At 37.4% G+C, this 25,704-nt stretch overlaps 1 protein-coding gene across 9 annotated transcripts in view; it reads left to right on the top strand.

Moving 5' to 3' along the window:
• The window catches only part of KIF6 (kinesin family member 6), a 395,419-nt gene that overhangs the window by 116,774 nt on the left and 252,941 nt on the right, over nucleotides 1–25,704 (top strand). For all 9 annotated transcript variants that reach the window (XR_001743238.2, NM_001289020.3, NM_145027.6 and 6 more), the window contains exons 7-9: nucleotides 12,375–12,581; nucleotides 22,231–22,374; nucleotides 23,651–23,737. Coding sequence is in view for 8 of the 9 variants with exons in the window: in NM_001289020.3 (NP_001275949.1) it covers nucleotides 12,375–12,581; nucleotides 22,231–22,374; nucleotides 23,651–23,737 (438 nt within the window). In the remaining variant the exon portion in view is untranslated. The remainder of the gene's footprint in view (nucleotides 1–12,374; nucleotides 12,582–22,230; nucleotides 22,375–23,650; nucleotides 23,738–25,704) is intronic.

The following is a 25,704-nucleotide window of genomic DNA, read 5'->3' as shown; positions in this document are numbered from 1 at the left end:
TAAATAATTTCCCCAAGAGGGATTAGAGGTCTTTATACCTAATTCTTTGCTTGAAATAAAAGACATACAGACACTCCCCAACTTACAATTTTTCAGCTTTAAATGGTGCGAAAGTGATATGCATGCAGTAGAAACTGTACTTCAAGTTGTCATACAATGATTCTGTTTTTCACTTTCAGTACAGTCTTCAATAAATTATATGAGATATTCAACACTTCATTATAAAATAAGGTTTGTGCAAGATGATTTTGCCCAACTGTAGGCTAATATAAGTGTTCTGCGCACGTTGAAGGTAGGCTAGGCTAAGGTATGATGTTCAGTAGGTTAGGTGTATTAAATGCATTTTCAACTTATGGTATTTTCCATTTATGATGGGTTTGTGGGAACATAACCCCATGTCATAAACCGTGGAGCATGTGTACTAGATTTATCTGAGTTATGCTGATGTGCTTTGTAAGCTCTCAGGCTTTGCACATTAGCAAACTTTTGGAGTAAGTTGTATGACCTTGTGGAAGTGCAAATAATTGGGAGACAGGGTGTGAGTTGGGGTTAATAGGTTTATGTGAGTTATAGGAACAGCTGTTCTTGGACGTGTTGTCTAATAACATAAGGATAGGGCAGGAAGGAAGGAGTAGCTTTATTGTGTGATTGTGTTTGTTAACACAACTTTAAGCCCCAATCTCCTTGTGGGATGTGTGTGGAAAACAAGAGGATTTTGGTTTCAATTAGTTCCAAAATCATTAAAGGGATACTGACTAACACATCCTCACAAATTTTTGTTTGAAAGATATGTTAGTTATATATAATTAGCAAGTTTGTTATAAAATTTGTGAACCTGGTTAGAGCAAAATATACAACAGGCAAACTATATTTTGGCCTTGATCTTATTACAGTAAGAATAGCATGTTTAGCAGGGCGCAGTGGCTCTCACCTTTAATCCTAGCTGCTCAGAAGGCTGAGGCAGGAGGATTGCTTGAGCCCAGGAGTTTGAGGCCAGCCTGGGTAACATAGTGCGACTCCACCTCAAATAAATAAATAAATAAATAAATAAGAATAGCATTTTCTTCTTATTAGGCCCTGATAAGTAGCTAGAAGCCTTAGTAAAAGATATATTGACAATTCTAACCTCTTTTCTTATCTATTATACATACCTACTAGGTATAGAAGAAAAGAAACTTTAATTTTGAGCACTTACTATATGACAAGCATTTCTTTCTTGTTCTTATATTTTATATATGAAATACATGAGAAATATACAGTGTTCTTTAAATAGCACTTCTGTGTTATAACACAGTTTGCATTCTGATCTAACCTGATTTAATGGTATTACATGAACCATGAGATTTGTTCTAAAACATCGATTAAAATAAATGAGTGGTATGGAACAGCTATTATTAGAATTTTAAGATTTATATACTCCATATACATTATTAAAAGAATAGTCTTTTGGCTATAAAATTTAGTCCCAGAGTTTCTTCTGATCTTTAAAGTTCTCATCTCGAATTAAACATAGCATATGAAAGTCACTTTTACTCTATTCAGTATTATTGACATTCACCAACAACAGCAACAAAAAATGAAAGAGAGGAGAAAAAAGCCATCTTCAGTGAAACAAGGAAATAGCCATAACCTCAAACTATGAGAAAACCTGCCAAATACTATGAATTTGACTTATGGTGAGAGAGGGTGCTGAGAGCCAACTCATATGTCCTCCAACCTCAGGCAGGATAGAGTTTCCCTTTAAAGAAAGGGTCACAATTCTCAAATGCAAATCCAATGATCTTTTGGTTAGAGTGATGAGATCTGAAACACAGGCAAGTATGGAGGAAGACTCTGGGAATGTTATATAGATATTCATTCTAACTATAGAAGGTGGATCCAAAGAAGAAACCTTAAATACAAGCCATTTTTATGATCAGTGATGTAGGCTCATGCCAAAGAAGATGGCCTTTGGTGAGTGGGGTTCAGGGAGTTTGTTATTTAAGGGACTTAACTGTGAGCCATCCCAGACCTATTCATGTGAAATATTGAGGAAAGTTTATGCTCTTGAGGCTAAAGACATAACAGATGTAATGTAAAAGTATTCAGGATGTAAACCCAATATGAATATTTCCTCACCTATCCTCTAGGCTACTCTTTAGGAAAGGGATAGTCATGTTCAAAGATAAAATTATCAGAAAGAAAACATCCCACAACCTATTTATATATATGGAGTAGGTGTCAGGGCTAAGGAACATACATCTGAAGGCTGATTAAATCAGAGAGCACAGGGCTTGTTCTTCATAATCTTAAGTATGTTATTTAAAGACAATCTTTGTTTTTTAAAAAATAGCTTAATATTATAGAAGAGCCCAAAGAAAAAGATTACAAGACAAAGAAAAGCAAACTTGAAAAACTTCAGAAAATAAATGAAAGAGAAAAAGCCATTAAAGAGATTAAAGTGCCATTAGAAGTGAATAGAAAGGAAGAAGAAGAAGAGGAAGAGAAGATATAGGAGAAGGAGGAGGAGGGAAAAAGAAGAGGAAGAAACGTGACTGAAAAATAACTAAGTATATAAAAATTAATGAGAGAAGGTGTATCTAGAAAGAGAGACAAAGGAGCATCCAATTATGCATAGTTAGAAATCCTGAAGAAGGGGAGGGAACAAAGGCAACAGAAAAACTAGAGAAAAGTTTTCTGAAACTTGGAATTACTTGAATCTGCAGATGAAAAGGACGTAACTGAAAAAATTGGAAGAGCTCAAAGAAAAAATTGGAAGAGCTCAATTCCAAGACATCCTCTATTGAAGTTACTAAATTACAAAGCTAAAGAAAGAGACTTAAGGGCATCTAGTCAGAAAATACAAGTCAACTATAAGTGAAAATAAAATAGGTTGTTATGCCTACCACTGGACATCTGTGCTTCTAGAGTTCTTTCTTCGGCATCTGTACTCTGAGTGACATTGTCCTAAAATTTATGTCTGTTACTGATCTTGATGTCCAAACTCGAAGATTGCATTGAGTGCTATCCCAATAAAGTTTCACAGTATATATTTTTTTTCATTAGAACAAAATGATACAAATGGATATCTAAATTCTCCTTGGTGTGTTATCATTACCTGTGTCTTAATTGTTTATACACAGGATAGTAAAAGGTAATTTCAGCTTGTCTATAATCCCAAGGTATGTAGTATGTATAAAAAAGACAGTTTGAATAAACTGCTAAAATTCTTAGGATTGTTAGTTCTTTTAGCCCCATAATATTATTATTCCACTTATGTGAATAGTCAGACTTGGAAATTTTTAAGCGAAGGCTGAATTTTAATAGGAAGAGAAAAAAGAAAAAAATTCAAACTCAATTTAAAAGATGAAAAATGGACAGAGTAGACAATTATGATAAGTTACTGTTTTGATGGCTAAATTTAGCTTATAATTCTTTTTGCAATCAAGTGAAAAATACAGCAGGGGGTTGGGCAGACATTTTGGGTTATATAATTTTCATTGTTCAGAGAGCAAACCTTAATGCTTGTGGAGGATATGATGCTATCTAGCTCAAGAATGATGTGTAAGAATGATAATTGAATGTAGTTCCAATTAAAGATACAGGCAAAATTCCTTCTCAGTTTCCCATATGTACCACAATTTAGCCGACTTAGATTTTGATATAAATGTGTTTGACTTTAATTTGCCAAATCCTGGAGAAATGACCCTTAGGGAAGTAATCCAAATCCTGACATCCACAGAGGAAACTTCAACAGAACCACTAATTCTGACTTTGTTTTCCCAAAATTTTTGAGTCGGCCAATAGATCTTTGAGGATGTAAAAGTCAAAAATCCATCAAATTGATTCCAGACTTGTTAGGAGGGATACACAATAAAACATACTAGACCTATTCTTATCATAAAGGTGAATCATAATTATTAGAACATTCTTATTATATGTTCCAGATTGCTCCAAAGTTTGTTTTTAAATTTTAAATAAAATTGGTGTGTCTAGTCTATTTCTCTTTTACAAAACTACTTTGACAACATGCTGGATAAGAAAAAGACCTAGAATCCTGCAACTGGGGAAAATCATTTTGACTACTTTCCTAAAAGCCAGGTATCTTATAAACAGAAAAGTCAGAAAGAAAAATGAGAAGTTTAGGATCATTAATTCCAGTAGAGGAATATCCACTCAGGAATATTTTGTTGCTAGGCAGTGTGTTCTGAAACAACTCCAGAAAAGTTCAAGGTAGGTGTTTGTAGGGTCACGTGCTAAACCACTAGGTTTGGTCAGGTCTCACTTTTCCAGGCTGAGTTAGAGTACATCAAGGGCATAGCAAGCTTCCTAATTCAATTCATTTAATATGGGAAGAACTATATAAAGAATCACTTAACCAATAGGTAACAGATTCGGTAATTCTTCATTAAGGGTGAGGTTTAACCTGAAAGGCCAAGATGCCAACCCAGAAAACATTTAGAAAACCACATGGAAGTTAGCATTTTCAGTCTTCAACTCAGATAGAGCAAGTGAGCAGAGGAACAGATCAATTAGAGTATCAGTGTAGAAAGTGTTATCAGACAAGGAGAACTGAAGTGGAAAGCTGAATTCTAGATCCTGTGGTTGCTATTGTTGTTCTTAGTTGGTTTGTTTTAAGGAGTCTCAGGCATATGCTTTATAATGTCCTGTTCAATCGAAAAGAGATTTCCTTTATTTGATCTATTCTAGATTAGTGGAAATTCCTGTCGAGATATTTTACTCCAAGATAACAAAGTGATTGAAAAAAAGATTTTGGTACACAGGAATGGAATAAAAGGTATAAGTTATGGCAAGAAATAAGTAAGTGGTACCCTAGAAAATTTTTAATATGATATACAGAGGTTATTTGAATCATTGAAGGCTGCATTAACTGTCTATAATCATTTTTGAAGTGATTGAAAACATTAGTTTAACTAAAAGCAGAAAAAAATTAATTTTACAAACATCCACAAGAGCATATTATGTAAACCTCAAGAAATTATATTTCACTTATTGAATAGGAAGAGAAAAAAGAAAAAAATTCTTTTTTGCCCCCAAATCAGAATTATCATTACTAAAAATGGCTGGACACACACGCACACACACACACCCCCCACAAAAAAAAAATGCATCACCATTTATTTTCAAATTTCTCTTTCAGCAGACAGGTATCTCCTGCTGTATAGAAAAGGATTATTATTCAATGAGATTTGAGGTTTTTTACCATATGAAATAGCTTCTGAGAGTGGTAGCTGAATCAGTGCCAGGGAGAGGAATAAAGGGCAGTAGAAGGGGCCTTAGCACCTCTCTCCTGGCCTCAATCCAGGCATTTGATGTTATGTAAAGTGTCCTAACAAAGCAGCATCAACCCCTGCCTCCACAGTCACATTGCTGCTCCAAGCCCCTTCTATATGAACATTTTGAAGCCACCATTGTCTGACAGGGTCATTTTTGAGTCACTTTTTACAATCTGCACCATTCTGTTTACACTGCCACAAAATGAGCAGGACGCCAAACACTCACTTGTAGCCCAGTGGATCACACCACTACTTCACTACGCACTAGAACAAACAGTTCATTACAATAACACTATTTAAACAATGTTCCAAATGGATTTTTTTATGAACATTTGAAACTCCATTTGGAACAACAATTTTTTGGATTGTTCCAGGGTTTGGATATTAATGACTGTCTATATGCGCAAATGTTAAATGTCTTTTCTGAACACAATGGCTAATGCCAATTGGGGATAGTTCCAGGGAATTCATGAAGATAAATGAATTTTGAGTAGGCTTATTTGGGGAGTAGGAAAAGGGTATACTTGAGTGATAAGCTAGAGGACATTCTAGACAGGAGAAAAGGCAATTGAAGATGTAGAGAGTAGTGATTAAGAGCTCTGGAATCACGCACAGCAAATAACTGAAGCCCAAGACTGATAGGGAGATTTGAGTTAATCTAGCTGTTTCAAATAGTTCTAATTTTTAGACTCAAATGAACTATATTCCATGGACTTAAAAAGCTTGCAGATGTAGTCACAGAATTATTTGAAGATTTTTAGAAATTATGGAGCATGCTGTAGAGATTCCAGAACACAAGAAATGAGCAAGAGTCAACAAATTAACAAACATTTTTAACACTACTGTGTTATGCTAGGCAATGACGCATAAGACACAGTCCCTGTCCTCAAGGAGCTTGAAGTCTAGGAGGGAGGAAGAGGGAAATGGAGAGGCTTTGTAGGAAGTAATCTTTCAGATGAATGGAACTTCAGTGAGAAGTAAAGTTTTGCTACACTGGAGATAAGAAAGAGGAAAAATAACTTTCTTTAACCATAGACTGCAGATATGATGACTCTGTAAGGAGTCCAGTGAGCCTAGGTTTTTCAATTTTCACCCCATAAAAGAAAGTCTATTCTCCATTTTCCGAAAAAGAAAACATATATGGAAGATAACAAGCTAATATTTTTGATACAAGCCCTAAAAAAGAAACTGATAAAGGATTATTAAATAATGGTCAGTAAGCTATTAAGAAAAAGTCAGCATTGATTTTACCTTAAACTAATTTCATTCACTTTTCTGATAGCATTTAAAATTTTATAGATCAAATCAATTCTTTTTTTATCTCTCAAAATATCCTTGGGGATATAAAGAGAAATTGAAGGTAATAAAAGTACTTGGATTGAAGTCAATTGTAGAATACCTGTAACAGTTACCTAACCGGGTGGAGAGCAGAGGTGGTCTTCTGGGAATGTTGTTGGTCTGCCCCACTGCTTCATGTCTTACACATTGTTTGGATGAGAATATACAAGATATTTTCATTTGTAGATAGCACAAAATTGACAAAAAGACCAAGATCCAATAGATTGTAATGTTGACATAAAAACTAATCAAATGCAGTCATGAAATAAACTAATGTGTGTGTGTGTGTGTGTGTGTGTGTGTGTGTGTCCCAAAGAAATTCCATAGCATGTAAGGGCTGGAGCAAATCCGGTATAGTAACACTTCATGTGATGTGCTATTTACTGGCAATATTAGATTTAGATTGTCCAGGTTCCAGGAAGTAATACATCCAATGTCCTCTGCTGTGGTTAGGCTACTTTTGAAATAATAATATATTCAATTCAAGTGCCAGAGTACCATATTTAAAAAGGATTTTGATAAACAGTTGCATAAGGCCCAGTTGAGAGGAAGAGAGATATTTAGTCTTAGGGAGCATGCTAGTTTAATTCAGTGATGTAGATAGGATTGGCATTAATCAAATATGCCTTTTAACAATACTACTTTGTCTGAGAGATGGAGAACAATTGGAAGGGACAAGAGTAAATACTGAGACTAGAAGGGAGAGACTACAGTAACCCAAGTGAGAGATAAAGGATATTTGGCTACTGGGGGAGATACAGATAAGTGGAAAGAAATCCAGCAGGAGTAGGATGGGTTGGATATCCATCCATGGGACACAGAGGGAGGGAAGGAGATACAGTTGTTTTGGGAACATTATGTACAAGATGCTGGTAAGACATTTTAATGACAATGATCAGTCAAACTGCTGGACATTCCAATCTGCTATACAGAACAATTGAGGTAAGAGATAAGGATACAGGAGGCATCTGAATAAAGTGAATATCAACAGCGACGTTAATATGACCTTTTACACTTCCCAGATCACTTCAGCACTCAGTAATTCAGTTGGTATTTAATATAACTCCCTGCAATGAAGCAGGTCTTAATATGGCATTCTAGAAACATGAAAATCAAAATTACTTCATGTAAATTTGCTTATAACACTAGTAAGCTTTTAACACTAGTAAGTGACAGAACCAGGACTTGAAACCAGGTTATCTGACACCAAATTCTGAGATTTTTGGTGTGTGATTTTTATTACACTACAGAGCCTATGCAATGAGGATTTGAGCTGTAGAAGATGAGTTTCCAAGGGGAGGAAATATGGTCACCATAGCTTAGGACACACCTATTTTTAGGGACTGCAAAGAAGAGAGCAGAGTAAAGGAAAAAGCGATAGAGAAGGAGAAAGTGACTGGAGAGTATTTGGCACTGGAAACCAGGTGGTGGGCAGAGGGTGGCGAGCTCCTAGAATGAGGGAATGGCTAGCATTTTCAGATATTACCTAGAGGATCAGCATGTTCATTGCTAAGAACAGATCACTTTCTTTACTGCACATTTTGCTTTTCTCATTTCATGCTCATTCTCATTTCACACATTGTGGCTTTAGATCCTGACTAGATTGTAAGTTCCTTGAGGGCAACATCCAGGTCTTATTTTCCTTCTTGTCTCTGTACTGCCTAACACAGTGATATACATAGGCTAATAGGAAACGTGAAAGCTCTCTGCATGCAGGTGATTAATCATCACTAAAATTTTTCCAAAGGCACAGTCGCTAGTGCCAAAAGCACATTTGTTTAAAATGTGTGCTTAACTTTGAATGAATCTGCCTAAATGGTGCCATCTGTTCTTAGGCAGTTTCAGAAACATTTTAATACAATTTTACCTTTAAAAGGACAAACATAGGGCCATGCCTATGAGACATAAAGACATCCTTAAATAAACACAGAGCAGACACAGCACATCCAATAACACTTAAAAAGCTCCACATAAAGAATGTTTTCTGAGGTTTAAGAAATTTTTATCTAAGAGGACACCAACTGCTACTTCATGCAGAAAATATTTATGAGAAGTTACAAAACTGTAGGCACGGACTCCTACAGCATATTACTGCATTTTAATTACAGACTCCAGAATATACAATTTTAGTTTATGTGAATCTCATATTCCTTTGAAATGGGTACACTCTACCAGTATTCGTTTATGGCTCACATTTTATGGTGGTTTCAGAATATCAGTTTCGAAGCTAAAGACAGCTGTTGAGAAGTCTCCATGTTATTTGTTTATATTGATTGTCAGTTTGACTTTTGTTACAGTATTGTAGGATTTATTGTTGTGCGACTATCACAGTGAAATGAAACCCATGTTTAAGTTCTGCAAATAACTTACAGTCACTTCCAAAACACCTCAACTTAGGTTCTAAATTTGAGTTTGCGGTTTTACATGCACAGTTATTTGCTGATCCACTTTAGCAGGCAAAATCACACACTGGCCAGGTTTGGGCATAGTTATTGTGGCAACAAGTAATGGGTCAAATTTTCAGCCTGTTTGACTCACTAGCTACATCATCATCACCAAAACTATGCCAGCATTTTGACATCTTTTTATTTTGCTAGTTGGTGTAAATCAACTCTGGTGTATATCAAGAATTTATATTTACAGAAAGAATTTCTGGTTGAATTGCCATTCAAATGTGTTACTCTGTCTGCACACATGTGCATCCATATTGAAATTCTTTGTTTAAATCTCATTTTGCAAAGGTGGAGATCTGAACATATTTACTCATATGAATACTCATTTGGAATATTTTTAGTTTTTTTGTTGAGAGGATGATACTACTAACTTGTCACTTGTATCTTGAATCAGATTAATTTCTTTCTTGTTCCAAAAAATGTAAAACACAAAAAAGTACAGAGAATAATGTAACCAACATCCATGTTTTCCAATCCAGGATTTGCTTCTAATAATTTTTAACTAAATGAAATAGAATATTGCAGATAAAGCTGAAGTCCCTTTCTTGGCCTTTCATTTCCATCCCTCACAAACACAACTGCTATCATTAATTTGCCGTATGCTTCTGGTCCATGTTTTTATACTTAATGACCTAAGTTATAGCTTCATGAACAATAGATAATATTGCTTTTTTAATTATGTAAATTCTATCATAATGTTCATATCATTATTTAACTTGCTATTTTTTCCCAGCATTCTATTTTAGAAATCCATTTATGTCAATCTATCCCAAGTTGCTTTATTTTAACATCTCTGTAATTTGAATTATCTCAGTTTACTAATCTTTTCTGCCACAGATGTCTACTTAGGTTGTGCGTCTTGCACCAATTTCTTGCTAACCCTAATAATGTTGCAGTGAATGTCCACATATATATGTCCTTATCGCATATTGCGCATATATAGATATATAGATATATAGATACACACACACACACACACACACACACACATATATATGTATACCTGCCCAAGATTTCTCTCTAGGAAATATATCTAGTAGTTTATTGATGGCTGTGTGTTATATGTATTTGGAACTTCGCCACATATTATCAGATTGCTCTCAAAATTTATTCTTAATTTATATTTCCACAAGCAGTACACAAAATTTCCCATTTCCTTATATCTCCAACAACACTTATTTTGTTAGACTTTATTTTTTAAACCTTATGGTTCTAAGTTATGTGGTTCTGATTATGTATAAATTTGAGCATTTTATCAAATATTCATTAACCATTTCCAGATTTCTTCCTTATGAGTTACCTAGTCATATTCTTTGCTTACTTTTTCTCACTGATTTGCAAGAGTTCTTTATTTTATTTATGTATTTATTTATTTATTTTTGAGATGGAGTCTCACTCTGCCACCCACGCTGGAATGCAGTGGCATTATCTTGGCTCACTGCAACCTCTGCCTCCGGGGTTCAAGGTATTCTCCTGCCTCAGCCTCCCAAGTAGCTGGGATTACAGGCATGCCCCACCAATCCTGGTTTGTTTTTTGTTTTGTTTTGTTTTGTTTTGTATTTTTAGTACACACGGGGTTTCACCATTTTGGTCAGGCTGGTCTCAAACTCCTGACCTCAAGTGATCTATCTACCTCAGCCTCCCAAAGTGTTGGGATTACAGACGTGAGCCACCACACCCGGCCGAGTCCTTTATTTATTATTAATGTTTTGTCAGCCATATGTATTGCAAATATCTTCTAGTGCTTTAATTTTATGATGGATTTTATCACACTGAAGTTTTTACATTTTGGATTATCTTGGTCAAATATTTTAAATCAATTTATTTTTGTGTTTTATATCTTAAAGTATCCATTACCTCCTTGGGTTGATTACAATATGCTTCCATGTTTTATGGTATTGGTGCTAAAGTTGTGTTATTTCACACTTAAAGCTTTAATCTATTCTGGAATTTCTTTGTGTGCATTGTGTAAGGAAGCAATCTAAGTTTATTTTTTTCAAGATGGATAGTTGGTTATTCCAGCACCTTTTACTAAATCAGTGCATCCTTTCTTTGCTGTGGTATGATGTCACATCTGTCCCATACAGAGCTCCTCAGTGAGCACAGCATGTCTCACTGACCTAGCTGTCTGCTCCTGCACCAGCACCAGCACCACACTGTTCTAATTACTGTAGCTTTGTGGTATACCTTGATAAATGGCAGGAAAGTCCCCTTTTATTGTTATTCTTTCACAGAATTACTTTTCATTTGTTTCTTTTTATTTTTTGATGGAGCAACTTTAGTAAGGAAGTGCAAACAGCATTACTTTTCATTTTATTTGAAGATTTCTTTCCTGTATGCCATTTAGGATCAATTTGTCTTTTTCTGTAAACAAAACCTGTAGCATTTTTATTTCAATTGCATTGAATATATAGGTTAATATATAGACATTTACATATAGATTAATTTTGAGTTTTCCCATCTATGAAATGGTGCATTAATATCCTGCACACCATTTACTCCAGTTCTCTTTGTCCTTTAATATTATCTTACCATTTTTCCTATAAATTACATATCCTTTAGAAAATTCATCCCTTATTATTTCATTGTCTTTCTTGCCATTGTGAATAATATTATATTTTCTGATTAATCATTGCTCTGAGTTATTAGAACCTCATTGATTTTATATATTCATCTCATATCCAGCAACCATGCTAAACTTTTTAGTTCTTAAGCCATTTGTTTGGAGATGCTCTTGCATTTTCTATGTAGACCACCATATTTTTTTGTACATAGTGACATTTTTAATTTCTTCTTTTCCTACTATTATGCCTTCTATTTCTTTTTCTTGTTTATTGTATTGTCTAGGGCCTCCACTTTAGTGTTGAGTAGTAACAGTGATGGTAGGTTTCTTTGTCTGTGGCTTTTGTTTACAATTGTGATCATGAATTTTTCTGATACACACATTCTCACCTCTTTTCCCATGAGATTAACATTAAGCATTTTCAAGCATTAAGCCAAGGTTAATGCATGGATTATAGACAGGTAATGAAATAAAGTTATATTGGCAAGAGGACTTGATCTATACCTCATTAGAACTCTTTTCTCACTTTCTGAATCAACCCATCCACATTTGTCATCAGTAATCCAAGAGGTAATACATTAAAAAGAACTTACTTTAAAGGTCTCAGTTACAAGTGGTTTTGCTCCAGTTGACAGTTGGCTTCATGGGAAATGTCTTATCACTAGAAATATTATTTTAAATCTTTTGATATTCTTTAAAAATTTTCATTGTTCAAATAATTTTTGTTTTGCAATTTTTTTATAGACTCCTATGAACCAAGCTTCAACCCGTTCCCACTGCATTTTCACCATTCATTTGTCAAGCAAGGAACCAGGATCTGCAACTGTACGACATGCCAAACTCCATCTGGTTGACCTGGCTGGTTCAGAGCGAGTTGCAAAGACTGGAGTAGGGGGCCATCTTCTAACAGAGGCCAAGTATATCAACTTGTCACTACATTACTTAGAACAGGTAAAATGGGCAGAGTGGGATGTATTAATAACTATAGCTACCATGTGTTGACCACATACTATGTATCAGGCATTCTATTAGAATTTTTTTTATTATGATGAAATATATATAACATAAAATTTGCCATTTTAATCATTTTTAAGTGTACAACTCAATGGCATTAAGTACATTCATAAAGTTGTATAACCATTGGCACTATCCATTTCTGAAAGTCTTTTATAATATCAGACAGAATATCCCCATTCCCCTATACTCTAGTCCCTGGTCATCTCTACTCTACTTTCTGTCTCTATGAATTTGCCTATTTCAGGTGCCTCGTGTAAGTGGAATTATGCAACATCTGTCCTTTTGTGTCTGGTTTATTTCACTTAGCATAATGTTTTCAAGATTCATCCATATTGTAGCATGTATCAGAATTTCTTCCTTTTTCAAATTGAACAATATCCAATTGTATGTCTGCGTCACATGCTGTTTATACATTCATCTCTTGATGGGTATTTGCATTGTTTCTACCTTTTGGCTATTGTGAATAATGCTGCCAGAAACATTGGTAGATCTACTAGCATTTTGTGTATACCATTTTATTGAAACGTCACAACAGCCCTACATTGTAGGTGTTAGTTACTATCCCCCTCTTACAGATTTTAAAATTCAAGTCTTCCAAAGGCCTTCCCACAAGATTACCCAGCTAGGGGAGGGTGAAGATTAGAACCTAGATTTACTTGGCTTCACAGCCTATACCTTTTTTCACTTTTTGTCTTACTGCTTTATTGTAAAATTTAGTAGTTGGTGTAAATAGAGGTTACAAATGGCTTCCTTTTGCCTGTTTTCAGGCTAGTAGATTAACGATGGGAACATGACTTTGAGATAACCGACATGTTTTCTGTTTGGGGAGACTTCATTTAGTTGGTAATTTTGACCCCATGATGGTTCTGTTAGCCTTGTAGCTTTCCCTTCCTACTTCTACCCCAGGCTGATTACAATCTACCCCAGTATGTGCTCTATTTTTAATTTCTGAATTTAATGCCAGGGGAGAGAACATTCATCTGAATTTAGCTAAATAAATCTTTCAGAAAAAAAAATTCATCTCTAAAATGAGTGGATTGAATTAGATGATTTCTCAAGTTCCATTTAGCTTTTTGAGTATAAGGGCTGTGAGATGAATGTTAAAGATGGCAACTACTTCCAAATTCTAAAAAAAAATAATAAAATAAAAAATAAGAAACATGATCAAAAATTGGAGTGGAGAAGTACAGAGTCTTGTGAGGCAGAAGGACTTGTTAACAAATGTTGCAGCTAAAAGATTAGAGGGGAAAAAAATAAAACCTTTTTTTAACTGCTTAATGAATCCTTCTGAGACTGATGTTGCCTCGATGTTAAATGCTATGTAATCATCACATTGGCTAAAAACGCAGATGGAGAGAAACCTAAGGGACCCTATCTGAACAAGGTGCACATGGCCACACTCCAACCAGATGAATCCCAGTCAGGCAGCACCAAGAGATTAAGGCCTGCCTGGTATTCAGATCATTCTAGTGTTTTTAACAAGAGTCAGCATTCCTAAGCTCTTTCCTGCTCAAATATTACACACTACTTATGCTTAACAGAGCTTTTTACTTAATAGAACACTTATAGAACATTGATATGAAAACATAATGGACTGTATTCAAAGTGCTTTATTTCAAAGAAATGTGTCTGCTTGTTTTGGATGGTAGCACTGTCTGTTTTAATTTCCATTATATCCATCTGTTCATGCAAAATTAGGTTCATCAGTTGAATCAGACTTCCCACCAATTGTAATCACTCAAGAGAAATGTTCTGCCCTTAATTCTTTTTTTTTTTTTAATTCTATAAGCCTTTGCAAACTGCTATGTGTCACTAAAACTATTCCTCTCCTCACATTTCTTCTCTTCAAAATTCTTAATGACAGCCTCGTGTGAGTAGTCTTGGGGGCTATGTGGCATTGGATTTTCTATATCATTAAGTTATTTATCAAACAAATATTTATAATGACCTACCATGTGCTGAGGGCTGTGCTAGGCACTGGAGCCTAGTGTGAACAAAATAGAAACAGTCCTTTCCCCAAAAACCTCATGGTCTAGTGCAGGGAGACATGAATTAAAGATGTAATCTTTAAGTATGTGGCTGTAAGCCAGGTGAGAGCAGTGAAGAGAAAGTAAAAGGAGTGAGAGGAGCTTGTAGCAGGGTATCTGACTCAGACTGAGGAGGTGAGAGTTGAAGATGGTTTTCTTAGGGCCTGATACCACGCAGAGGAATGAATAGAGGCGAGCCAATCAAGGATGGGGCAGAGCATGTCAGGCAGTGGGAATTGCAAGCCTGTCAGCTCTTAGTTCCAGCCCAGGGGGATGAATTTGCTCAGAGTCTCAATGACATTCACATGTCATTGCCCCTTGGTCTCTGTAACCGATGTTTCATTTTCACCCACTGCATCACTCCAGCTGTTAGCCATTTACACTGATACACAAGTGTCTTCACAGGAAAATAGAAGGTTCAACATAAGATAATAGAGAAGAGATTAGTGGGAGAGGAAAGAACATAAATATGGAAAAACTCATCTGTGAACATGGAGATGTTAGGCTGAGTAAATCTAGGAGTAGCTGCTAGAGAGCAAGTAGGTCGGTAGAAGAGAAATTTTTGAATTTCACACAGAAAGAAGAGAAAACCAAACGGTACATAGGAATAAGAATAATAAAGAGAGTGGGAAGATGTTTAATGAATAACAAAATTCAAGGACTTTTGTTAATCAATTTCTCTTTATGTAGTACTTTATTATGGCACTAATGAGACTGGAAGTGTAACACAATTTAGTTTAATTAGCTTCATTCATTCATTCATTCAACAAATTGTGATTGAATGTTTACTGGGTGCTGTGAGTTACGTTAGACAATGAGGATAAATGAATGACTGAGAAGTAGGCAGGACTATCATGTTAGCCAGCAGAACAGCAAAGCATACAAATAAATACTTAGCAATATAGTAATTTAAAACCTATAATAGAAATCCATGTGAGTGTTGGTAATCAATTATATCCCTATCCCCTCTCTCGGTTTCAATATATAAGACAGAGATGGAATGGGAAACCATTTGGTAACTTGCTTTACCTTAATTAGCCTACATTGGTTCCACAAATTCCATGCAGCATTATAATTACTCTTTTGGCCATAACTGTGAGACCTCACACCTGCTCAAAGGGTGCAACCTCTCTGAGTTGAATGGACTTTATTGTGTTCACAAGTAAATAACTTTCTTTTTGCCAGAGTATGGTTGGTTTTGGAGTTCTCCTTGTATATGCAGTACTTTTTCCAAAAAGTTTCCTCAAAAACATTTTAAGCCACAATAACAGGGTACATCTTGGCCTTAGAAATTGAGTTCATGGGAGGAAAAGGGAGACATACATACTTGTCCTAAATCTCACTGAGTGCTCCCGGTGTGACCCACAGCCTCTATCAGCCCAAACATCAAGTGAGAAACCACTGGAAATGAAGTGCTTGCTCTGTACTGCTATGGAAATCAGAATCAGAGTTGCCTTCAGCCATTTATTCAACATAAATGGGACTTTCTCAGAGTTTTAGTTTCCATTTAGTTTCCAACTGAATGTGTTGTGTTTAGGAGAAAAAGTAATGGTGTCAGTGCCAATTGTAACACTCCAAATTTTGTCAATTTTCATAGGATAATTTTCCAAACACTTCTGAGCTCTTTTTTGTTTAAAGTCTTTAACTCATTAAATAGTAAATAGAATTATTGATTGCAAGCACAGTTTCTAGGTACTTGGAGATATTATTAAGCATAATGTGAGGTTCTACTCCTTGTCAGTTAGAGAATAACTTCAGGAATATTTACCATTGTATTTGTACATGCAATCTAAGATGGAAGGAAACAATAAAAAAAGTCAGGTTTGTTTGTTTGTTTGTTTGTTTTTTTGAGACGGAGTCTCACTCTGTCGCCCAGGCTGGGGTGCAGTGGCATGATCTCAGCTCACTGCAACCTCCATCTCCCGGGTTCTTGCCATTCTCCTGCCTCAGCCTCCCGAGTAGCTGGGACTACAGGCGCCAGCCACCACACCTGGCTAATTTTTTGTATTTTTGGTAAAGATGGGGTTTCACCATGTTAGCCAGGATGGTCTCCATCTCCTGACCTCGTGATCCGCCCGCCTCAGCCTCCCAAAGTGCTGGGATTACAGGTGTGAGCCACCGCTCCTGGCCAAAAAGTCAGGTTTTATGACCACCGCATTTTCCTGTGCCTTTCAGATCATTTGGCTCCTGCCCAATTTAAGAACTCACACCAGCCTCACAAAGAATAATCTACCTCTGCCTCTTTCCTGAATACCTGCCATTTCTGGGTCATTCCAAAGTTTTACATCTGCTCCAGGTGGGCTGGGCTTATAGTATTCCTCAAGCTCCTTGAGAGCTGATAAGGTACCTTCTCACGGTCCTCTTCTAAAGAAACGGCCCAGGACTGTGTTTATATGATGAAGATCAGTCTTCAAACGTTTCATAAAGAACATTTCCTTCCATATCACTGAGTGCTTTTTTGCTTACTAAGAACTATTCCAGAAATAATCTCTATTAATCTTTAAAACATTTTTGTGAGATAGACATTCCAATACCACTTTTACGAGTGAGGGAACTGAGGCTCACTTTATTTAAGAAGCTCACTTTATTTAAGAGATTTCCCTAAGATGACTGCCTTCATTTTCTCCATTTTTGAGACTATATTTTCTAATCCATAATTCCAGTTTGATCTCTAATTCTTTAGAGAGCCCTTTCTAGAGAGGACATAGGAATTGCCTCTGCAATGTCCATAACAATGAGAAGCTCGGCCAGGAGCCCGTCCCAGCGCCCCAGGTAGATCCTGACTTATCTAAGTGAATTGGAGACTGTCTTTCTCCTGGCTACAGTGATTAGTTCAAGGATGGGCCCAGGACCCACGCTCATGCCTACTGAACCTCAGGAATTTTGTTTAATGATTAGGGAAAAAGAATTCTTTCTCACCTAAGTTATGAATAAGGAAGTATATAACATCAGGGCTTTTGGCAACCATTGTGGGGCCGCAAGAAGAGACTGACTTCTACCACATGGAAGATATAGCTGAGATATAGGCAAAAACTAAGTCCTTGATAGTAGCATTAATCTTTTGTTTCCTTCTAATCTAAAGCCTTTCCTGTTTCAATCACATGAACCAATAAATTTCCCTTATAATTAAAACCAGTTTGGGTTACATTTTCTGTTTCTTGCAACCAAAAGCAAGTTTACTAACACATGATTTAATTTAATATCAACAGGGGTTGGGCATGGTGGCTGATGCCTGTAATCCCAGCACTTTAGGAGGCAAAGGTGGGTGGATCACTTGAGGTCAGGGGTTTGAGATCAGCCTGGCCAACATGGTGAAACTCCATCTCTACTAAAAATACAAAATTAGTTGGGCATGGTGCTGCATGCCTATAATCCCAGCTACTCGGGAGGCTGAGGCTGGCGAATCGCTTGAATCCAGGAGGCAGAGGTTCCAGTGAGCCCAGGTTGTGCTATTACACTCCAGCCTGGGCAACAAGAGTGAAACCTCCATCTCAAAAAAAAAAAAAAAATATATATATATATATATATATACACACACACATACACACACATATATATATATCATCAAGAAGTTTAATAAGCATATTCTCCTTTAGGTTCTCTAAGTTGTCAATAAAGCCATTGAATGAAAAGACATCAATATTGTTTCCTAGAGCAGGAAAAAAAGTGAATTTGTTTTATATAAGAACTTCAAAGTACTTAGAGAAATTATTTATAAGCAATAATGCCACACTGTCTGCACAACTGTCAGCCCAGCCCCTGTTTGGGTATTTGGGCACACCTTGCCTGTTTCAGATACTTAATCTGTCCTCTTTGTTCTTAGAGGCTAGAGTTCTGCTTGGCATCTCTTGCCACTCTGACTTGGGTCTGCCATATTCCCCACCTCCTTTCCAATTACACTGAAACTTGGTTCTCTCAAACCTCATTCCATGCTGATGACCTTCATACTGCCTTCCTAGGACATACTAAGTAATCTTCTCATGCATTCATTGATTTACTTAACAAAAATTTGTTGAGCACATTTTATATTTGTCAAATTTCTTAATTGTAAACTGGAAAATCTGCTCTAGCTATTTTAAGAAGCATGGTTTATTAAACATAAAGAATCTCAAGAAAAGTCAGAAAACTGGGTTTGGCTGCTACACAGAGCAACCAGGAGACACACCTAACCACACCACTAAACTGCTCTGCAAAGTACTACTGTATAGCCACATGGCACTGGATTCCAGAAACTTCCCTGCAACTGCCTCAGAAGAACCAGATGCCTCTGCCACCATGCCCCCCGCAGATCTGATGTTCCTCCTTATGGCTACCACCTCTCACTGCTCACCTCCAAACCCCACATAGGGCTGTCTGCTTGGTGGAGCTACATCTTAAGCAAAACATGACCTTCAAGACAACTAGGAAAAGTAATTTCATAGGAAGTCAAACTAGAATGAGGGCTGCCACGAGAACTGAGGGAGACAGCTTTGTTTCTGCCATGTTAGCAAGTGCTGAGCACTGTTCTCCGCAGTGGGGGTCGAGCTATGAAGAAGAGAGACAACGTCTCTGGCCTTGCAGAGCAGAAAGCCTAGAGGGGAAGCAGATAACAAATAAGTACCTAAATATAATTTTAAATAGTGATAAGTAGTATAAGAAAAATAAAAAAAGATTAACAGGCTGGAGATAGGTTTATTATTTTTGATAGGGTGTCCAGGGAAGGCCCTTGTGAGAAAACAAAATTTGAGCAAAGATGTGAATAATGGAAGCAGAAAGCTGTATGCTGTATGGAAATCTGGGGCAAGAGCATGCTAGGCAGAAGGAACAGCAATTTCAGAGGCTCTGATGTGGGGATAAGCTCGACAGGCTGAATCAACAGTCAGAAGGCCAGTACAGGCCCAGGGAACATGACAGGACATGATGTCAGATAAGTCGAACAGGGATGGACCACACAGGAGCTGGGATATTATGCTAAGTGTATTAGGGAGCAACTTGGCATAACTTAGATTGTGTGAAGATTTCTCTGGCTGCTGTGTGGAGAACAGATCGTGGAAGGGCAAAAGTAGAAGCAGGGAGACTAATCCAAGGCGTGTGTGGTTTCCCAAGCAAGGGATCCCAGAGGTTTGAACTGGAGTGGTGGTGGTAAGAAGTGGTCCAATTCTTGGCAAGTTTTATAGGTAAACCTAATAGAAATTGCTGATGGATTGGATATTGGGGATGAAGACAAATCAAGGATGATTGCCTAAGGTTTTGGCTTGAGCAACCGGGTTGATGTTGGGGCCTTAATAATAATGGGTGAGATCTGGGAAAGAATCAGGCTTGGGGGCAGAGAGGAAAGAAAATCAAGAATAGAAATCCAGATGGAGATGTAGAGTTGCCAAGATGATAGTAGCACAGGGAAGAGGTTGAGATTGATGGTATAAATTGGGAAGACATCAGGATATAAATGCATTTAAAAGCCAGGCAATGGCTGGGCACAGTGGCTCACACCTGTAATCCTAGCACTTTGGGAGGCCGAGGCGGGTGGATCACTGGAGCCAGGAGTTTGAGACCAGCCTGGCCAACATAGCAAAACCCCAACTCTACTAAAAATACAAAAAATTAGCTGGGTGTGGTGGTGCACGCCTGTAATCCCAGCTACTCCGGAGGCTGAGACACAAGGCTCACTTGAACCCAGGAGGCAAAGGCTACAGTGAGCTGAGATTGTGCCACCACACTTCAGCATTAACAGAGCAAGACTCTGTCTCAAATAAATAAATAAATGAATTAAATAATAATTAAAGCCAGGTGATTGGATGAGATTACATAGGGAGAAAGTGTAGATAAGACAGAAAACAGGATCAAGAACTGAGCCCCGGGGCACTACAAAGTTTGTAATTTGGGAATAAGAAAAAAGAAACATTCATTAACTAGTTTTTGAGGAAAGATGAAAACCAGGAAAGTGTAGTGTCCCAGTTACCACGTGAACAAAGTGTTTCCCAAGGGAGGCAGTGAGTACCAGTGTTGCATGCTTACTCAGCTCAGAAGTCTAGTAAGATGGCAATCAGTGCTCTTGGTACAATGAAGGTTGCTGATGACCTTGGCAAGAGCCATCTTAGTTTAGGACTGTAGTGGGCATGCAGAATGGGAATTGTCCAGATGAAAGGGAAATTAATTCAGAAGAGAGAGGAGGTAATTGTAGGAGAAAAGTAGGAGGGAGCAGATGAGGCCAAGGATGGAGGGCTGGCCTTAGACAGGAGCAGGACAATAAGAAGGTGAAGGGCAGAATGTACAGGGGATTTAATGATGGAGACATGAGATAGTCCTGGTCAGGGTTCCGAATCTATATCTATCATATCTAGTAGAAGTGTGGCCATCAGCTCGAAGTGAAATTGAGGAGAGGAGAGGGTGAACAAAGGTTTGAAGAAAAAGGAGAAAAGTGTGAAGGTCTCATTTCTGAGAGCTGAAAAGTGATTTTTGAGAGAGAGAGATCACAGGATGACTGAATTTACCAACACCTGTGGTCATGAATTTAGAATGAGACTAGTGGTATAGTTACATATGTTGCTTAAAACAGCCTTCAGAAAGCAATGCTCCCTTTTCGTTTTGTAAACCAAAAGAGTAGAGGAGGTTCTGGTGATGGAAATCACACACCTGGAAGGAGGGAGGACTAGAACAATGACAGGCATTGGCGGAGGTATTCTCAGGAGCTAGGGCTTTGTGATGCCCTTAAAGACACATCCTGTGGGTGGCTGATTCCTGCTGCTTTGTAATGAACATTCTAGCACTGGATTTGTCTGCCCGGGATAACCCTGAGCCCCAGGTGCCTCCTTTCGGGACAACCCCAGCAGCCTTTGCTCCATCTGCCATCCATCTATCTAGTACCTTCCTATTAAGTACCTAAGGAACTCATGAAGAGTAAGGTGAGCAAGCCTGAATTGAACCAAGGTCAACTACCCATTGCTTACAATGGGAGCAAACCTATATACAGCACTTGTTATGGGCTAGGTACTATTCAAAATAATTTGCACATTTTAACTCTTTTAATCATCTCAACTACCTGTGAGGTAGATACTATTTTTATTCCTATTTTACAGATGAGGAGACTGAGGCATGTTGAGTGATGTGCCCTAGGAAAGCCAGGACTTGCACCTAGACAATCTTGCATGAGAATCTGGGACCTCAACCACTATCCTATACTGTTTCCCTTAGTTCTTGCTTACTGGTGTACAGCCCAATTTTGGTAGTATTAAAGTAATTGAAGTAATCAGGCATGTTTTACTCTTGTGTTTTCATACAAATTTTCCAATCGTTAAAAACAGAATAATAGTGTATCCAGTTCTATACAGGTTATTTCATTTGTCCAAAAATTATGGGGCTCACAATGCTACAGTTACACTACATTTACTTTATTCAGTCTTCACCATCTTGTACTGAATATTGTTGTCAAGATATTTATTCTGTACTTAAGTTTTGGGCTTCACCGTGCATTTAGTTATTATTTCCTTTTGCATTTTTATTGCTATTGAAGCTCTGTTGTTTGTCAGGAGTGCATTTTCTTGCTAAATTAATCCCATTATCTTTCTACTTTACCACAGGTTATCATTGCCCTTTCAGAAAAGCACCGTTCGCACATTCCTTATAGAAACTCCATGATGACCAGTGTCCTAAGAGACAGTTTGGGAGGGAACTGCATGACAACTATGATTGCAACACTCTCCTTGGAGAAAAGGAATCTTGATGTATGTGGGCTCTTCTTTCTGGAGATCTTAATCTAGGTTTTTACTGCTAGCACGTGAGACGGAGTTGAGGCTCTTGGGTGGGTTTCTACATTTTCAGCTGGGTATGCCTTCAGAGGGCAGTACCCTACAGAGTTCACAGCTGTGGGCTATTTGTTATAGCTGTGGGCTATTTGTGGGTCATTGTTATAATAACCCCATTTGAGAATTGACTTCACATAGCACAGGATAGTTTGAAGAAGCCTCATACACAGATTTTGGAAGGCCTACTGATGGGTTGGCAATGTCACCCAAAGAAATGGGAGAGCTGACCCATCCGCTTCTCTTGCTTGATTTTGCCCTGATGACTAAGATCCGGATACCTTGGAGATATCTCTGAGATGTGTCCCTAGAAATGTTGCTGAGTGAAGCAACCAGGATGCTTTGGCAGGAGCCAGCTGCTGAATGGCTCTTCTGGGTTGCTTTAGAGTCAGCTGATGTTTAATGTTTGGAATCCAGACACTCCTCAGAAGAGGAAACAAGGCCAAGACTTTGATTGTAAGATGCCTTGACAAACCTCTCTTTTTGACCTATTATGAATCTTTATTTTGTGATCTTTCATGTGTGTGGATTATGGCTCTTGCTATGATTATGATTTATATATGTGGTTCTGGTCTAAGTGATCAACAACTGAAAACACATACTATACCAGCTGCCACTTAGGACCTTGTGATCTCTCACTTTTTGTCATTGGTAATTTTATTAAGCCAAAATAAAATTTGGTTAAAAAATAATGTTCTAGAGCAGGGGTCCCTGACCCCCGAGCCATGGACCAGTACCAGGTCTGTGGCCTATTAGGGGCTGAGCTGCACAGCAGGAGGTGAGTGGTGGTGGAGCCAGCATTACTGCCTGTCAAATCAGTGGTGCCATTAGATTCTCATAAGAGCGTGAACCCAATTGTGAACTGCACATGCGAGGGATCTAGGTTGCCCGCTCCTTATGAGAATCTAATGCCTGATGATCTGAGTTGGAACAGTTTCATCCTGAAACCACACCACCTGCACCCTCTGTCCATGGAAAAATTGTCTTCCACAAAACCAGGCCCTTGTGGCCAAAAAGGTTGGGGACTGTTGTTCTAGAGCAAAGCTTCCTAATTTAGGGGCATAGTTCCTCACTGTGAGTTTTATACACATCACTTTTTAGGTGTGTATCTTTTTTCTGTGAATAAAAGATAAGTTTTATCTAGAAAGAAATATCTCTCTATGCCATAATATTTTAAGAAGTTACTTTGCTTTCTTAGGAGTCTATATCAACCTGCAGATTTGCACAGCGAGTGGCACTCATAAAGAATGAAGCTGTTCTTAATGAAGAAATTAACCCCAGATTAGTAAGCAACTTTTAACGATATTTTAAAAAATATATTAAAGTATATCAAAGATTAGCTAAAACTTGTAGGTGCACTTGCTCTGTACTGGGAATGTTCTAAGTAGTGGAAACATATTAACTCATTTAATCCTCTAAATAACCTATGAGTAGATGCTATCTCTATCTCCACCTTAAAGATGACAAAACTGAGGTAAAAAGATGTTTGATAACTTGCTCAGAGTCATAAGTGCTAATAAGTAGCAGAGTCAGGCTTCACACGCAGGCAATCTAACTCAAAAGCCACTTGCTCTTCCTACTTGCAGCTCCCCATTGTTTCACTTCAAAGACATGCAGGGAATCCTAAGGACTCATACAACAGAACCACACATGATTACATCTATATGCAGAACTTAGCCTTTCAAAATACATCAGTTTAACTATCTAGAGACAATAATAGTCTTTTTTTTTTTTTTTTTTTTTTTTTTTTTTTTTTTTTTTTTTTAGAGACAGAGTCTTGCTCAGGCTGGAGTGTGGAGTGCAGTGGTGCAATCTTGGCTCACTGCAACCTCCGCCTCTCAAGCAATTCTCCTGCCTCAGCCTCCCAAGTAGCTGGGACCACAGACACACGCCGCCACAACCAGCTAATTTCTTTTGTATTTTAGTAGAGACGGGGTTTCACTGAGTTGCCTAGGCTGGTCTCAAACTCCTGAGCTCAGGCAGTCCACCCACCTTGGCCTCCCAAAGTGCTAGGATTATAGGTGTGAGCCACCGCGCCGGGCCAATAATAGTCCATCTTATATAAAAGCTCAGAAAGAAAGAAAAGTCCTAATAGCCATTCAGTAGAACCATATTTTACATACTTGTTCTGTTATTTGTTCTAGAGTTTTTTAAAATTCATTATTGGCTTGATCTGTCAAACTTCTAGTTTTATAACAGTAAATCCTGCTTTATCAAAGAACTGTTTTTAAGCAAAAAAATTTACATGGTAATAATTTAGCTCATCATAAATGCAGATATTTTCTGTTCTCTATTTTGTTAGTTTTCTGTAAATGAAATGCAACACTGAATCCATTTATGCCAACATTGAAAATGTTAAACTATCTCAATTGTATCAAATTCCATAATTAAGATTGCATCATTTTTCAAATCACTCAGTTTTTCTTATTTCTCTAGAAAATAAGCTGGTAGGGGCTTAGTAATCTGCACTGTAAAAAAAAAAAAAAAAAAAAAAAAAAAAAAAAAAAAGAAGTGAAATCCTACCAACAGTGTTTCACTTATAAATTTCTCAAATCAAAAAAAAACCAACAAATTAATTGTTACCCATATTAATTACTTCCTCTTGATTGTTTGTCCTTTCTCCTCTTTCTCCCCATGGAAGGACAGAGGGGGAAGGAGGACAAAGGAATAATGGGGCTGTCTGTTATGTTCTTCTTGCCTCAGAAAGCACCAAGCTCCTCTGATGGAGTTCTCTTCTGCAGAAACCAATGAGTGAGGCAGGATCTGTTTCAGCAAAGGCCCTGGTCAGGTATCAGCATCACACAGTGTTCCTGCTGGAGAGAGGAGACAGCATGCAAAGTCAAGATTCAGGTGGAACTGAACTGCTAGGGTGGATTTTGTTGCTGTCCCTACCCTTCCAGAAGCCCTATAGCATTACAGTGCTGAATGAGAAAGAGAGTTAACAAAGTTATTAGCCCCAAGACAAAAACTAGTTCAGAATTTAAGGAAAATAAACATATTAGACATTGGAGGGTTTTGTTTTTGTTTGTTTGTTTGTTTGTTTGTTTTTTGCATTTGGCTAGAGATTTTTCTTTGAAGGAATGTGAAGAATTTGAAGAAAGGTAAACATTATTATGTGTTTGATATAGGTCTGTGAGAGATTTGAAGAAAAGAGAAATCAGGAATCAAAAGCTAATAGCTGATAATTGAACAAATGTTGAGGTCTTCCTGGTGCAGATTAATCTGGTAATTGACAAGTGTTGTTTCCTGGTC

Source organism: Homo sapiens, chromosome 6, assembly GCF_000001405.40.
Source record: "Homo sapiens chromosome 6, GRCh38.p14 Primary Assembly".
NCBI lineage: Eukaryota > Metazoa > Chordata > Mammalia > Primates > Hominidae > Homo > Homo sapiens.
The sequence above is the reverse complement of the archived record's forward strand: the minus strand, read 5'-3'. Positions and strand labels throughout refer to the sequence as shown.